This window comes from Homo sapiens, chromosome 7 (genome assembly GCF_000001405.40).
Source record: "Homo sapiens chromosome 7, GRCh38.p14 Primary Assembly".
Taxonomy (NCBI): domain Eukaryota; kingdom Metazoa; phylum Chordata; class Mammalia; order Primates; family Hominidae; genus Homo; species Homo sapiens.
The window spans coordinates 111,843,479-111,859,088 of record NC_000007.14 but is presented as its reverse complement, the minus strand read 5'-3'; the positions used below and the strand labels follow the sequence as shown (position 1 = coordinate 111,859,088).

Below are 15,610 nucleotides of genomic sequence, written 5' to 3'. Positions count from 1 at the left end.
CATGATCGCACCACTGCACTCCCACCTGTCTGACAGATGGAGACCCTGTCTCAAAAAAAGGGGGGAGCAAAGAGTACAGTTGGCTCACATTTTAAGAAGATGAATTTCAAAACCTTTTCAGACCTTAGATGTTACAAGCCCATCAAGACATCTGGGAAGTTCTAAAAGTTGACATTTTATTAGAATCCTGTATTAGTCAGATTTCTCCAGAGAAACAGAACCAATAGGGTGTATGTGTCTATACATGGAGGAAGGAAGGAAGGGAGGGAAGGAAGGAAGGGAGGGAAGGAAGGAAAGGAAGGGAAGGAAGGAGGAAAGACGGAAGGAAAGGAGTCATAAGGAAATGGTTTACGTGATTATAGAGGCTGAGAAATCTCATATCTGCAGTCAGTACGCTGGAGACCCATAAGAACTGATGATATAGTTTCAGTCTGAGACCAAAGGCCTGAGAAGCAGGAGAGACAATGGTATAAGTTACAGTTCAAGTCCAAGTCCAAATGCAAGAGAAGACCATTGTCCTAGCTCGAAGACCATCAGGAAGAGGGAGCATATTCTCCATTACTCAGCGTTTTCTTCTATTCAGGCCTTCAACAGAGTGGATGAGGCTCACCACATTGGGGAGGACAGTTTACTTAACTCTGTCTAGCAATTCCAGGGTTATTCTCCTGCAGAAACTTCCTCACAGACACACCCAGAAAAATGTTTAACCAACTCTCTGGACACCCCATGGCCCAGACAAGTTGACACATTAAAATTAACCATCACAAATCCCAAGGAGAAAAAAGCAGAGGAGGCATGCAAAGGAAGAAGCATGGCTGCAGAATAGTCATGGTTGAGCTTAGAGTAGAAATTAACACATAGAGAAGACAGAAAGAAGGACATATGTGAATGTCAGCACCAAAGAAGGGAATGAAATGTTGTCTGAAATGTTGTCATGGGAAGATTCAAGCCAGGTTGCATTAAGGGTCTCTGGGCAGCCTCACAGCTGGACAGAGCAGGCAGGAGGACTGAATCACCCCCTTAGTCACACCCCCAAGGTCAAATTCTAGAACATCTGACCAAACCTAAAGGACACAGATAACTTTTGGAATCTAAATAGATTGGTATTTAATGTCTAAATAATCTGGGATCCAGGTGGACTTATTTAAAGCATTAAAAATCAGCAACTCATTTTTCCCTTTCTCCCCCAGATTTTATTCTTCCTATTTGCTGAAGGCCATGAATAGAAGAGTCTAAATGGTTTTGGAGAAGACAGCTTTGGCAATGACAAAAGGGTAGATTTGATGCAGAGAGGTTGTTGGGGAAGGAGGAAGTGTAGCGGGTAGCAGAGACATAGTTTAGGGCGTGATAGCGAGAGGTCAGGAACAGGGTCTGCCGGACTTCGCGAGGTCAGATCTGCTAGAGCTGTGGGTTTTACATTCACTTTGCGTTTGTCACCATTGCTTGGTACTTGATGATTTGTTTAACAGATGGCTGGAGTTAATGCTGAGCTATTTTCTTGCTAAAAAATAGCTATATATGTTTCTACTTTGGAAGAATTGAACAGTTTATCAGGCAAATCCCAGCACAGATAATAGAAGTAAATATAAAGACCTAAAGGCACTGATCATGTACCACTGGTGAGAAGCTTGCTGGTACGACTTGCTTTTGCCTACAGACTAAAAAATCAAGTGTTTTAGGGTAGGAATTTTTTTAAGTAGTCAAGAGTAATTGTTTTTCTTTTTGGCAGAAACTCCCCAGTCCCCATTAAGGATTTTGTGGATTTTATACAAAACTGCAATAAAAAATTAATGGAAAGATAGAGAAAGGTAGACTATTAGACTATTTTTAAAGTATACTCTAAGAATTAATGCTCTCCAACATTTTAGGCCATAATATAAAGAAAGGATGTTTGATAGGTTTTTCTATTAATTTGATAACTTCAGGAATAAAATCTTACTACAGTTGATGAGTGCCTAGTAGCTTTTATTTCTTAGAACTATAAAGTGTAGTTTAGTGTTGGGTTTTATTGCATTGCAAGTGATTACATTTCTTTTATTCTTAAAAATGACATTTGTTTAGAACTTTTCTGCTAGCCAGGGCTTGCAAAATAGAGAGTCCTTAGAAAGAATAAAGTTGCAGAAATAAGGGCTTCTTTTTTCTCTAGAAGCAGAGTAATAATGCAGGACCATTGCAAAAAATGTACAGACCTTAGTTTTTTTAAATATGGAATTTGTGATGATGATCTAATGTAAAAGTATATTTTCAAAAACTACCTGGGACCTCAAGAAAGCCTTTGGCTAAAAATCATTAGTGTTTTGTTCCTTCAGTCTCAATCCCTTTATCTCACCCCTCCTCTTCCCGCTTACCCGTATTCCCCTCTGGTTCCCTCTCCCCAGGCTTTTCCAAAGGGAAAAAACTCTAGGGTGAAGCCCTTTCCAGGTGTTCACCATCAGGGAGCTCTGAAAGCACTTGCTGAAAGTTTAACAGTTTCCACAGTTTTTCAGGCTCTTTTCTTGGATTTTATGAAAGATTTGCCCACATAATGATTTTGGGTTTTCTGTTTTTGTTGTTGTTGTTAAAGGCTAAACAGCTATAACCATGTTTAAGTGGATGTTCTTAACCAAGAACCTAGAAAGATGTATCTTTGAAAAACAGTTTCTACATCTGTCTCTAGACAGGGCAAAGATAAAATTAATAGTTTTAGGTAACACCTCACCCTGCACATAGAACTTAAGATGAAAAATATACCTCACTGAAATCATAGTTGCCCCTAGGTTTTAACTGTGGGTTTTGAAAACAAATGTAAACTCACATATTTTGGGAGTCACAAGACTCCCTTTCAACTTAGTTCTCTTACTATGTTTCTGAACTTCTCAATGCGGATTGACAGTATAACAAGCACATTACTGGGGAAAGGGTGACACCTGTATCATTTCATTTCTTACACGTCACTCATCCACATTTGCACAGATTTTCAGAGGGATGGGGAGCATGTGTGTCACAGGCAGCTGCCGTGGCTTGCAAGGTAGTGGGAATTGCTGTCTCCCCGTGCTCAGAGCAAGCACCAGCAGATGGAGTCATTGTAAACCAGACTGATAACGGGCCTCCTCACTCTTCCTGTTTAAGCTGTGTTTAAACCTGAAGACAGAAATGCCAGGCTCTATTTGAGTAGCCTGTAATATCCAGTAGAACTCATGATGGAGTCCATTCATTCAACAAATATTTATTATGGACAGACTCCACAGTATTATATTAGAAATATATTAGGATGGAAATACTATAACAAATTGAACCAATAGAGTCCCTGCTCTCTGTCTGTTTACAGTAAAGCACAAAAGTAGATGTCGAACAAATAATTATAATATGATAAAGTACAGCAGCGTATGTGATGGGGCAAGTTTCCAGGGTGCCATGTAGCAGGGAAATCTGAGCAAATCTTGGGGCTCATTCCACCTGCTTAGCCTCAGTTAGTGCCATCCATGTGCTGACCTAACTCTCACATTTATATTTCTAGGCCAGATCTCTCCTCGGAGCTCCAAACTTGAGTATCCAACTGTGCTCTTAACATCTCTGGTGGATATCTCACAGGCTCCTTAAACTCAGCATGTCTAAAATGAAAATCTCAACTTTTTTCTCTCTGAGCTTAGTCTTTCCTGGCTCAGTAGGTGGCAGCACCATCCACCTAGAAGCCTCAGAGTCATTCCTTCTCCCTTTTGCCCTTTGTCTCTGTCTGTGGCCAAGAAACCTCACGTGCCTCTGTAGCTTCTCCACACCCCCACTGCCTCCTCTCTAGTCCAGCTGCACTTGCTCTGAGCTGCCTCTGTCTTTTCTCTCCTTGTTTCCTGTATTTCCTTTCACCACCCATCTATTAGCCAAAGTTACCTTCAGAAACATACCAGATGATGTCACTCCCAGCTCCTACTCACATCCCAGTTCTGTTTTATTGGGGGGCACTCTCCAGAATTGATCTTCCATGCCCTGTGATGTGGCCCCGTCCACCTGCCTCATCTCATCTCCTTGCTACTTTTCTCTGTTTGGAATCCACTTTCTTCAGCTCCTGCCCAACAGAGTTAATTCCCATTTATCCTTCATGGTTTAGTCTCTCATTTTCTCAAGAAATTTTGGTGCCCCACCCACTCAATTATCACTTTTATAGTACACTGTGTTTTGCTTCTTGAATCACCTAGCACAATTATAATGAAATAGAGAATTGGGTATTTCATTGATTAACGTCTGTTTCCCTCCTCCACCCCAGAAGGGAAACCCCAGAGGCCAGGGACTTTATTTGCCTTGATCACAATGATATCTTTAGCTTCCCTAATAGTGCCTGGTGCAAAGTAGGTGCTTAATAGATGTTTCATGAACACTAGGTACTGACTGAATCATGGGTTAGGGATCGGGATACAGTAGCAAAAGCTACTGAATAGCTGGGTGCGGTCGCTCACGCCTGTAATCCCAGCACTTTGGGAGGCCAAGGCAGGTGGATCACCTGAGGTCAGGAGTTTGAGACTAGCCTGGCCAACATGGTGGAACCCTGTCTCTACTAATGTAGCAAGATGAGCCACAGACAGAACTCCTCAGACACCGAGTTAAAGAAGGAAGGGCTTTATTCGGCTGGGAGCATCGGCAAGACCCACGTCTCAAAAACTGAGCTCCCCGAGTGAGCAATTCCTGTCCCTCTTGAGGGTTACAACTCTAAGGGGGTCCGTGTGAGAGGGTCGTGATCGATTGAGCAGGCAGGGGGCTGCATGCACTGGTAATTAGAATGGAACAGAACAGGACAGGGATTTTCACAGTGCTTTTCCATACAATGTCTGTAATCTATAGATAACATAACCGATTAGGTCAGGGGTTGATCTTTAACTACCAGGCCCAGGGTGTGGCACCAGGCTGTCTGCCTGTGAATTTCATTTCTGCCTTTTAATTTTCATTTCTTCTTTCTTTGGAGGCAGAAATTGGGCATAAGACAATATGAGGGGTGGTCTCCTCCCTTACTAAAAATATAAAAATTAGCCAGGTGCAGTGGACTGCACCTGAAGCCCCAGCTAGTCCCGAGGCTGAGGCAGGAGAATCACTTGCACCTGTGAGGAGGTTGCAGTGAGCCGAGATCATGCCACTGCACTCCAGCCTGGGCAACAGAGCAAGACTCCATCTAAAGCAAAAAAAAAACCAAACAACAACAACAACAAAAAGCTACTGAATAAATGATGTGTATTTAAAAAAATCTTATTGGAAAAGCAACTTTTTGAGCTCAGGATGAGCATGAATATGACAATAAAACAGTGTGTGGCAGGGTGGCTATGTAGGAGTCCCAGGCCAGGAGGTGGCGTAACTACCAAAAGTAAGATGTACACAGTACATGTGTCTTGCTTTAGGAAGGATGCCTGAGGTGGAGGCATTCAGGGTGGGATTAAAGCCAGTGGGTGGGATCTGGGAGCTTAATACAGGGATCATCCGTAGCCCTCCACTGTTGCTTTCCTCTGTGATCCTGACATTGTCTGCATGAGAACGTAGCCCACTGAATCTGCAGTCCTTTCCTCTCTGAGTTCTTGTTGTCTGTATTCCAGTGTCTGAAAGGCTTGTTTGCAGGTTTTGCGACTGGCTCTGACTTTGGCAGTTCAATTCCTGGTGGCTTTGATCACAGAGGCCCATCCCAGCTCTGATGTCAGGCTTTCTGTAGTCAGCAGCTCTGCTACATGCAAAGCTGTGCTGCCACATGTCCTTCTGCCTCCCTTGTTTACAATCTCCCCGTACTGAGGCCGCCCCTCAGCAGTGCCCACGTCCAGCCCATGCTAGAGCCCAGTTTGTGGAATGTAACGGCCAACCCTTGTGTGCTGCCATGGAACTCACAGACCTCGCGCTCTTGGTGACTGATGCTGACTTCAAGGATCCCTGTCTAAAGCTTGTTGATAGAGGAGGCAAAAGTATGACTCCTCAAAATTAACCTAAAGGAGGAAATCTACCCAGCTTCCCTTGTTCCTTCCTAGTCCCGTGTCCAGTGGGGATTACTGATGGGAGCTGGCTGTATATCCACTCAAGTGTAGACCAAAAAAGTAAATGAGAGTCACTCCTTATACACTCAAGGAGACATACAACACAGTGAGCTTTATCTGAGATGTGGAATATGAGTGTATCGGCCCTCTCAAGGAGAGAACCTGCACGGCAGATTCTGTTGTTAAATGCATGGAAAGTTAGTGAATGTTCAACTTGGATTGTTTTATGGGGGGTCTTATTTGATGGGCCTGGTTGTTTTCTTTTAAAGGTAAGAATTAGCATATCAACCAGTCAGCTTGTTTGGCATTTACCCACCCAGTCTATCAATTGCACTGGCTGGCATTGCCCAAGTAATGGAGAAAAAGCAAATCTGCAAGCTGGGTTGTTATGTATTTCTTTGTATACATGCCACACACAAATTATTTGTCCACCTTACTTACTTTTTTGCAGTTGATATTTTCTTAACAATTGGCTGCAAATTGAATTTTTAGAAATCAAATCCCCCTAGCTGAAGGAACATATCAGATAAGCTTTATCTTCCTTTCTAATTAAACATTACTAGGCAATGACTACTGGCACTTAAATTTTCAGGGTTTTTTTTTTTTTTTCTGGTTCTTTTTGTTAAGTAATTGATTTGTAAATAAGTATTTAAGTTCCCTGGTGAGGCTTACTGTTTAAAGAAGGCTTGCAATGAATTATTTTACAAGTTTGGATTTGAATATTCTGTATTTGTTTTCTTAATGTATAGAATGCCTGTGCCTTATGTTGTCTGTTTTGATGCTAAACCTGAGGCCAGACCTGGTTATTTTGGTAACCCAGTGGCAGGCATCAAAAGAAATAGGAGACTCCGGCTGAGTATGGTGGCTCACGCCTGTAATCCTAGCACTTTGGAAGGCCAAGAAGGATGAATTGCCTGAGCGGAGGAGTTCAAGACCAGCCTGGGGAATATGGTGAAACCCCGTCTCTACTAAAAATACAAAACATTAGCCGGGCATGGCGGCGAATGCCTGTAATCCCAGCTACTCAGGAGGCTGAGACAGGAGAATCACTGAACCCAGGAGGCGGAAGTTGCAGTGAGCCGAGATCGTGCCATTGCACTCCAGCCTGGATGACAGAGTGAGACTCTGTCTCAAGAAAAAAAAAAAAAAAAAAAAGGAAGGAGAGAGAGAGAGAGAGAGGCACTTTCACAGTTGTGGATGCTTTATTTGCACTCCTTATCACTTTTAGTAGCATACAGAATCACTTTTATCTATAGATATAGGATAAAATTGAAAGAGGAAGAAAGGAGAATAACACTTACATAGCACTCATTGCATTCCAAGCACTGCTAGCTAATATGATCCGTAAAACAATCCCAGGAGGAGTTACCATTGCTAGCCTCGTTTTACAGATGAAAAGACTGAGGCTAGTATTTCACGGAACTGGAACTCTAATCTAAGCAGTCTAATTCTTGGGTCCTCAAGTAGAAAGAAGGCAACAAATAGGGATCTTAAACAGGGTCAGTGGTGCAAGTCAAGTAGAATTTTTAATTTTGATCAAATGTAATTTATCACTTACCTTTGATAGTTTGAGGTTTTGTACCTGTTTAAGAAATCTGTATCTAACTCAGAGTCACTAGGATTTTCTTCTATGTTTTCTTTCAGAAATTTTTTTTTTTTTTTTTTTTTTGAGATGGAGTCTTGCTCTGTCTCCCAGGCTGGAGTGCAGTGGTGCAATCTTGGCTCACTGCAACCTCTGCCTCCCAGGTTCAAGCGATTCTCCTGCCTCAGCCTCCCTAGTAGCTGGGACTTACAGGCGCGTGCCGCCACGCCCAGCTAATTTTTTGTATTTTTAGTAGAGACGGGGTTTCATTGTGTTAGCCAGCATGGGCTCAATCTCCTGACCTCGTGATCCACCCGTCTCAGCCTCCCAAAGTGCTGGGATTACAGGTGTGAGCCACCGCACCCGGCTTTTTCAGAACTTTTATACCTTTAGCCTTTGCATTTTAGGTCTATGATCTATACCAAGTTAAATTTTGCATTTGGTGTAAGGTAAGGATAGAGGGTTTTTGTTTTTGTTTTTAACATATGTGTATCCAATTGTTCTAGCATCATTTGTTGAAGAAAACTATTGTTTCTCCATTGAATTACCTCGGCATCTGTTAAAGTAAAAAATAATTAATGACATTTGCTGAGGATGGTAAGTGTTACACGCGTCCGTGTGAAGAGACCACCAAACAGGCTTTGTGTGAGCAATAAAGCTTTTTAATCACTTCGGTGTAGGTGGACTGAGTCCGAAAAAGGAGTCAGCAAAGGGAGATGGGTGGGGCAGTTTTATGGGATTTGGGTAGATAATGGAAAATTACAGTTAAAGGGGGTTGTTCTCTTGAGGGCAGGGGTGGGGGTCACAAGGTGCTGGGTGGGAAGCTTCTGAGACTCATTGTCCAGGAGAAGGAATGTCACAAGGTCAATTGATCAGTTAGGGTGGGGCAGGAACAAATCACAGTGGTGGAATGTCATCAGTTAAGGCAGGAACTGACTAATTTCACTTATTTTGTGGTTCTTCAGTTGCTTCAGGCCATCTGTTTATATATGTGCAGGTCACAGGGGGTATGATGGGTTAGCTTGGGCTCTGAGGACAGTACGTCAGGCTTTTTTCAAGGTGAGGGTCATGGTGATAGGTGTGGGGGTGGCTGCAAAAGGATTTTGCAATAAGGGAGAAAGATTGGGCTGAATTTCTAATGTAGCATGGGTAAGTGGGACTTCATAGCCAAGGAACAGAGTCGGGTGGGTAGACAGGAAACATCAAAGATAAGGGTGGGAGGTGGGGGCAGGGAGTGTGCAGATTCTGGTTAAAGTGACCTAACAGGATTCTCGCTGAGGACAGGGCAAGGTGATCAGACATCACCTGGGGATGGTGGAGGATGAGGAACCCAATCAGATATCAAGGGTGTTATCAACTTTATATTAATATATTGTTGGAATTGACTTGCTAAAGTTTTGAAAAGGGTTTTTGTATCTGTACTTACAGATACAAAAAGAAATTTTTTTAACGTATAAGCTCACAGGTTTAAGAGAATGGAAGAAGAGATACAATGCATAAGAAATAGCAGCAATTTTTACAAGGCTGGGTGGCAGTTGACTTGCAGACAAGAGAAAGCTGAAATGTGGGCACGGTGTGTGTGGAGTTAGGGTAGGGCCAAGGAGCAAACTAATTTATTCCACAGAACCTCAGAAGACTCAGGTAGGCTTCAGAAAGGATCAGGAATCGAAAATATCAGGTAGCTCTGAAGATGAAATTGATTCATTTTCATATGTGTTGCACCCTTCATCTTCAGAGAAACTGATCAGCCCAAGAGAAACCATCTCAGATACTGAACTCTGGGGACCCCTGCTCCAGTGGAACACCTAGCTTCCCCATCCTGCAGTGATGCTTCATTAGTTCACAAGCTTGCCTAGGCATACAGAGATTTTGTGATTTCCAGTTAGCATTTTGGTGCCTTACTTGTGAAGATGAATGGACAATGAAGGATCATCAGATATTGGAGAAAAGCCCCTCATGTGAAAAGCAGAAGCCAAAATAAATAAAGAAAAAAGTAATCCCAGCACTTTGGGAGGCCGAGGAGGGTGGATCACCTGAGGTCAGGAGTTCAAGACCAGCCTGGCCAACATGGTAAAACCCTGTCTCTACTAAAAATACAAAAACTAGCTGGGCGTGATGGCACGTGCATGTAGTCCCAGCTACTGGGGAGGTTGAGGCAGGAGAAACACTTGAACCCGGGAGGCAGAGGTTGCAGTGAGCCAAGATTGCACCACTGCACTCCAGCCTGGGCAACAGAGCAAGACTCCGTCTCAAAAAAAAAAAAAAAAAAGTAACTAGGAAGAAAAAGATAGTTCAGGGAGCAAAACTGTTACCAGAATAAGGGTCTTGAGTGTGAGATGTTCAGGTCCTTGGCATTCTGAACAAAGAATTCGGCAAAACTCACAAAGTAACAAAGGAATGAAACACAAGAACCAAGCAGCAAAAATGGGAATTTATTAAAGCGAGAAAGCACTCCACAGGATGGGAGTCAGCCCAGGCAAGCAGCTCTAGGGCCCGGTTACAAAGTCTTCTGGGTTTGAAGTACTTCTTTTGAAGTCCTTTATCTGGATGAAGGATTTGATCTGTGGCTAATTAAAGGCTGAGGTGAATTGGTGCCCTGTGCAGATAAAGGGATGGTCAATGGTCCCTGGTTGGCCTGTGGCCAATCCAGAGCACTTTACCTTTCCATCTAAGAGGTGGTGGAAGGGGAGGGTTGTAGGGAGAGGAGCCTTTGATACTTGTTACTCAGACTTTGGGAGAGGGGGGTTTTTCCTTTTGGTTCAGCTTTTGGAAGTTTGCATTAATAGGCCTTAAGTTCCCTGCCCCCAGACTCAGGTGTTTTCCCTTTTTATCCAGCTTTGGGAAGTCAGCATGAATTGGCCTTAGAGTCCCCGCCCCAGACCATGGTGTTTTTCATCGATTCAGCTTTAGGAAGTCAGCACAAATTGGCCTTAGATTTCCTGCTTCCAGACCCTATTTTCCTGCCTCAAAACAAATTTTAAAAAATATCTGATTTCCTCAGGGAGAGAAGAGAATGCATCTGTGAAACAAGAGTGGGAAGCTCTGAAAAGAGAACATTCAGAGAAATAAACAGGAATGGCTGCATAATGAAAATACAAGACCTGTTGTTCAAAAGTTAAGAATTTCAAGGTGGCAGTAGCATCGCTTTCACCAAGCGTGGGGTCCTTCTGAGCACAGGGACCTGTGTGGCTTCTCAGGTTACACAGCCACAACACTGGCCCTGGGAGGGAGAAAGCTCTTGGAAATAAAATATCTGATAGCATAAATAATAAAACTGAATACATGATTTGGAAGATAAGGTATGGGAATTACCAGGAAGTTGAACAAAAAGAGGGGAAACATCCTAGAAAAGCAGAAGATAGCTCAAGAGATTCAATGTAAATGTAGTTGAATTTACAGACAAAGGATAGAAGAAAATAATCCTAGAAATAATTCAAGGCAAATTCCCAGATCTGAAGAACACAAGTGTATAGATTGAAAGGGTCAAGGCGAGTTACATAATCATGAAATTTTGAATTACCAGGGATAATTTCCCAAAAGCTTTCAAAGAGAGAAAAAACCAAGCAAAAATCCATTCATGTACAAAGGTTTGGAAATCAGAACAGCAGCAAAAACATAATGTTAACTTAGCCAGAAATTGTGATATAACCATTTTGAGAGGCTTGGGGAGAAAAGGGAGTGTATTAGTCCATTTTCGTGCTGCTGATAAAGACATACTGAAGACTGGGTAAGTTATAAAGAAAAAGTGGTTTAATGGACTCACAGTTCCATGTGGATGAGAAGGCCTCACAATCATGGCGGAAGGTGAAAGGCACATCTTACATGGTGGCAGAGAAGAGAGAATGAAGCCAAGTGAAAAGGGAAACCCCTTAAAAAACCATCAGATCTTGTGAGACATATTCACTACCACAAGGACAGTATAGGGGGAACTACCCCCATGATTCAATTATCTCCCACCAAGTCCCTCCCACAGGGAGTTATGGGAATGATGGGAACAATTCAAGATGAAATTTGGGTGGGGACACAGCCAAACTATATCAAGGGGGAAAAAAAAAAACAACCAAGTCCTCTTCTACCGTAGTAGAAAGTCAGTAGGCGATCTATCTTAACGAAAATTCAGGAAACAGCAAGAGAAGCATGTAATTTAGAAATTTAGAGGTAAAACAAATAATTTTAGAAAGATATCTATTTCACCTAAAAGTGTCAAAGGCCTCCTGAGGTAGGAATTGTGCATTAGGGAAAGGAACTGCTGTTTTTCAATATAAACCTTGTAGAACTAATACCTTTGTAACTACATGTGTTAATAATTTAGCAACCAAAATTGAATTAAAAGTAGATAAGGATTTGCCCTAGGTATTGCGTGGGACTCCAACAGATGTGACACTAATGACTCTTCTCTCTTCAGATTCCCGATACATTCTTCTGCCTGTCGTGTTACATCACCTCCACATTCACTTGCAAGAACAGAAGGACCTGATCATGTGTGCACGTATCCTTAGCAACGTATTTTGTCTTATCAAGAAAAATAGCTCAGTAAGTAAATACAGGTCATAGTATATAGCTCCCTTCAAATGGCTTCTGGAAATAAACTTGTAATAGTCTACAAAGAAACCGCACTAAAGAGGAAGCCTCTGAGACCCACTTTTATTTCCAGCTGGGCTGGACTTTTTGCTTCTCTTTGGAAGGAATTTTTTTAACCTTGTGGGATTCTGTAACCCCAAATAACCTGGGTTCCCCAAACTTGTATTTCAAGGAAGAACTGCATACTGAGTGAGAAAAATGAGAAATCTCAAAGCCTCCCACGTGTGTCTTTAATCTTGATATGATGACTGCTCTGTGGCAAGAATAAATTACTGCTTGCAACATGAAGTCGTTTTTGATCCATTCTGTGAAAGGCTACTTCATGATACTCAGAACTTGGCTGTGGTCCTTGGGCCGGGTCCCCTGGAAATTGCAGAAGCAAAGGACAGCCCCAGGAGATTAGGGGTATCTTACAGTATAACCATTACTTGGCCCCACCAGTGATCTCCAAATTGTTATGGATTTGGGGATTCCTATCAACGTGCCTGACTCTTGATGCAATGCAATTGCATTAGAGAATGCACTGCAAAATGAGAAGAATCACATGCTTGCTTATAAATGGGACAACTCAGAGTATTTGTGTTCATGGCTCAGGGGTCTGGTGTGAAATCCACATATGGAGAATATCCTGTTCCACTTCTGCCAATATGCAACTGTTAACCATTTTGCTCATCGGTAACAGGTTTTATGGAGCGGAGTTTGGCAATGAGTGCCAAGAATCCTGTTCCTCTGCTTCCCTATTACCTTTATGCTACAGTTTCCCCAATTTGTCACTTACGATCAGCTTCTGAAGATCAGTGAGGTGGGATGGGACCTCAGTGGAGTTGTTGGAGATAGAGCCCCAGTAGCGTGGGAACAGAGTTGGCAGTTGAGAGAAAAAAGCTAGAAATTCTGCCTCTGGAAGTGTAATAAGAGGAACCTGCATGGAACAAAGCAGTTGACTTTTTCCCACCCCCATGATCCAGGCCCCAAAGGTGATCTGGAACTGAATAGAACAGTGGTGACAGAAGGCATGAATTCAGTTTTAAACCCGCCTCTATAAAATTATATAAAGAATAACTATGCTATGCCTAGTTAGAATCGTTTTCCAAATTATAATTGCTGAGAGTAAAATGTAAGTTAGATAGTTCACTGCACAGAACCAAAAACAGCAGAAGAGAAATAAAAAGAAATCACCTCCACAACTTCTGCTCTGTAAGACATTCAGAGCAGAAACCAAGTCACTGGAGGGAAAATCTTGGTAGTTTTCTTGCAAGTGTAAGAAAATTTATCATAAAATCCTAGCCAAAAAGCTCTTTCAAACTCGTACTTTCTAAAAGTATTTTTTACAAAGAGTGATCTCCTTGGTTAGAAGCATTTGTACATAGAGTTTTGTTTTGTGCAGGTGTAATAAGAACCCAACTCCACATACAGTCAGTGCAGAGCAATTTGGGTTTCTCTTGCAAGTCCTGGGGCGTGGATACTATTAACTTTGCATCAGGAAAGCAGTTTCCACATGGCCACTGACCTTAGATCCACTCTGTAGCTAAGGGTATTTGTCTGGGCCAAACACCATTTCCTAATATTTACATGCAAAGATTTTTAAAAATCATTTTTTATAGGAATAGTCATTTGTACTTAAAGTTTCGGAAAATGACTGATGTAACTCTAATATTGAGAAAAGTAAATATAAGCACAGTCTGGAACCAAGGAATCATAGACCAAGAACAAGGATGGACTCTCAGTGAAGATTCAGGCTCAGAGAGGCAGACTGACTTGCCTGAGGTCACACACCCTGTTGGGAGCCTCGCTGGTGTTCTGAGTTAGTCTGGTGTGCCTTCATGATATCACCCACCTTTTTACTTGTATCTCAGGTATCCATTGCACCACTGAGTTGTGTACTCTTGGGTAAGCCATTAACTTCTCTGTGCCTTTGTTTACTGTAAAAGGAGATCATTCACTTAGGTGAAATCCATGCCTCAAGTTCTCTGACTCTTTGATTTCCCCTTTTCTGTTAGATTGAAATGCATGTTAAACCCCAGTTTCCTGAACATATTATTTTTTTTCTCTTAAGGAAAAATCTGTGCTGGAGGAAATAGATGTGATAGTGGCCAGCTTGCTGGATATTCTGCTGAGGACCATATTGGAGATCACCAGCCGACCTCAGCCATCCAGCTCAGCAATGCGGTTCCAGTTCCAGGATGTCACTGTAAGATCATAGAGCAGATGGCACGTGGAACAGGGCCTGGTTATGCTTCAGTCACGTTGCAGGTGGCTTGATGTTATAATCTGGAAAATGTGGCCTTAGGAGAGTAACCCATCAGCATTTCAAAATCATATGAGGTTACCTTAATTTTACAAGGAAACCAAGATATAAAACATGTTTGTTAAAGGAACTTGGAATAAGCAGTTTTTAATTGCAGAAAGCCAGCTTTGATATTAGTCATACCATGCCCGGTTTAAATTAACCCAAGATTTTATATTCCAAGTCAACTTGATGACTTTTTATTCTCTTATCATCCATCAAATTGCTTGAGGAAACGAGAAGAGTGAAACAGAGTAATAGGAGTCAGGGCCCTGAGTTTTCATTCCAAATTTTTCACTCTGACTAGTCAGAATCGTAACTTTTCTAGGCCTCAGTTTTCTTAGCTAGGAAATGAGAAGGTTGGAATTGGCAAAGTTTTTTTTCTTTTTTTGAGACGGAGTCTCGCTCTGTCTCCCAGGTTGGAGTGCGAGTGTGTGATCTTGGCTTACTACAACCTCCATCTCCCGGGTTCAAGTAATTCTCCGTGCCTCAGCCTCTTGAGTAGCTGGGATTACAGATGCCCGCCACCACACCCGGCTAATTTTTGTATTTTTAATACAGACAGAGTTTCACCATGTTGGTCAGGCTGATCTCGAGCTCCTGACCTCAGATGATCCACTTGCCTTGGCCTCCCAAAGTATTGGGATTACAGGTGTGAACCACCATGCCTAGCCTGGAATTGGCAAATTTTAAAGTGCTTTGAAGCTGGCTTTCTGCAATTAAAAACTGCTTATTCCAAGTTCCTTTAACAAACATGTTTTATATCTTGGTTTCCTTGTAAAATTAAGGTAACCTCATATGATTTTGAAATGCTGATGGGTTACTCTCCTAAGGCCAGATTTTCCAGATTATAACATCAAGCCACCTGCAACGTGACTGAAGCATTTTGAGTCTAATATTATATCTGTATTTTATATTCATGTAAAACATTAAGAAAATAATATTAAGAAATAATACATCTGGCAGTTTATATATGTGTATCTATTTATATATATACAGGAATATAAAATGGTATAGCCACTATGGAAAATAGTAGCTCTACTATATATACAAGTTATGAATCGTCCACTTTCTCAATACTCTCATCATCATTTGGTGTTACCCGTTTTTTTGGAGTGGAGAGCATTCTGATAGCTATGTAGTGATATCTTATTGTAGTTTTAATTTGCATGTCCCTAATGACTAATG

At 42.0% G+C, this 15,610-nt stretch overlaps 1 protein-coding gene across 14 annotated transcripts in view; it reads left to right on the top strand.

The window, feature by feature from the left end:
- DOCK4 (dedicator of cytokinesis 4) overlaps positions 1-15,610 on the top strand; it is a 480,290-nt gene that overhangs the window by 347,311 nt on the left and 117,369 nt on the right. For all 14 annotated transcript variants that reach the window (XM_047421081.1, NM_014705.4, XM_006716189.3 and 11 more), the window contains exons 24-25: positions 11,963-12,090; positions 14,192-14,326. In XM_047421081.1, coding sequence (XP_047277037.1) covers positions 11,963-12,090; positions 14,192-14,326 — 263 coding nt within the window. The remainder of the gene's footprint in view (positions 1-11,962; positions 12,091-14,191; positions 14,327-15,610) is intronic.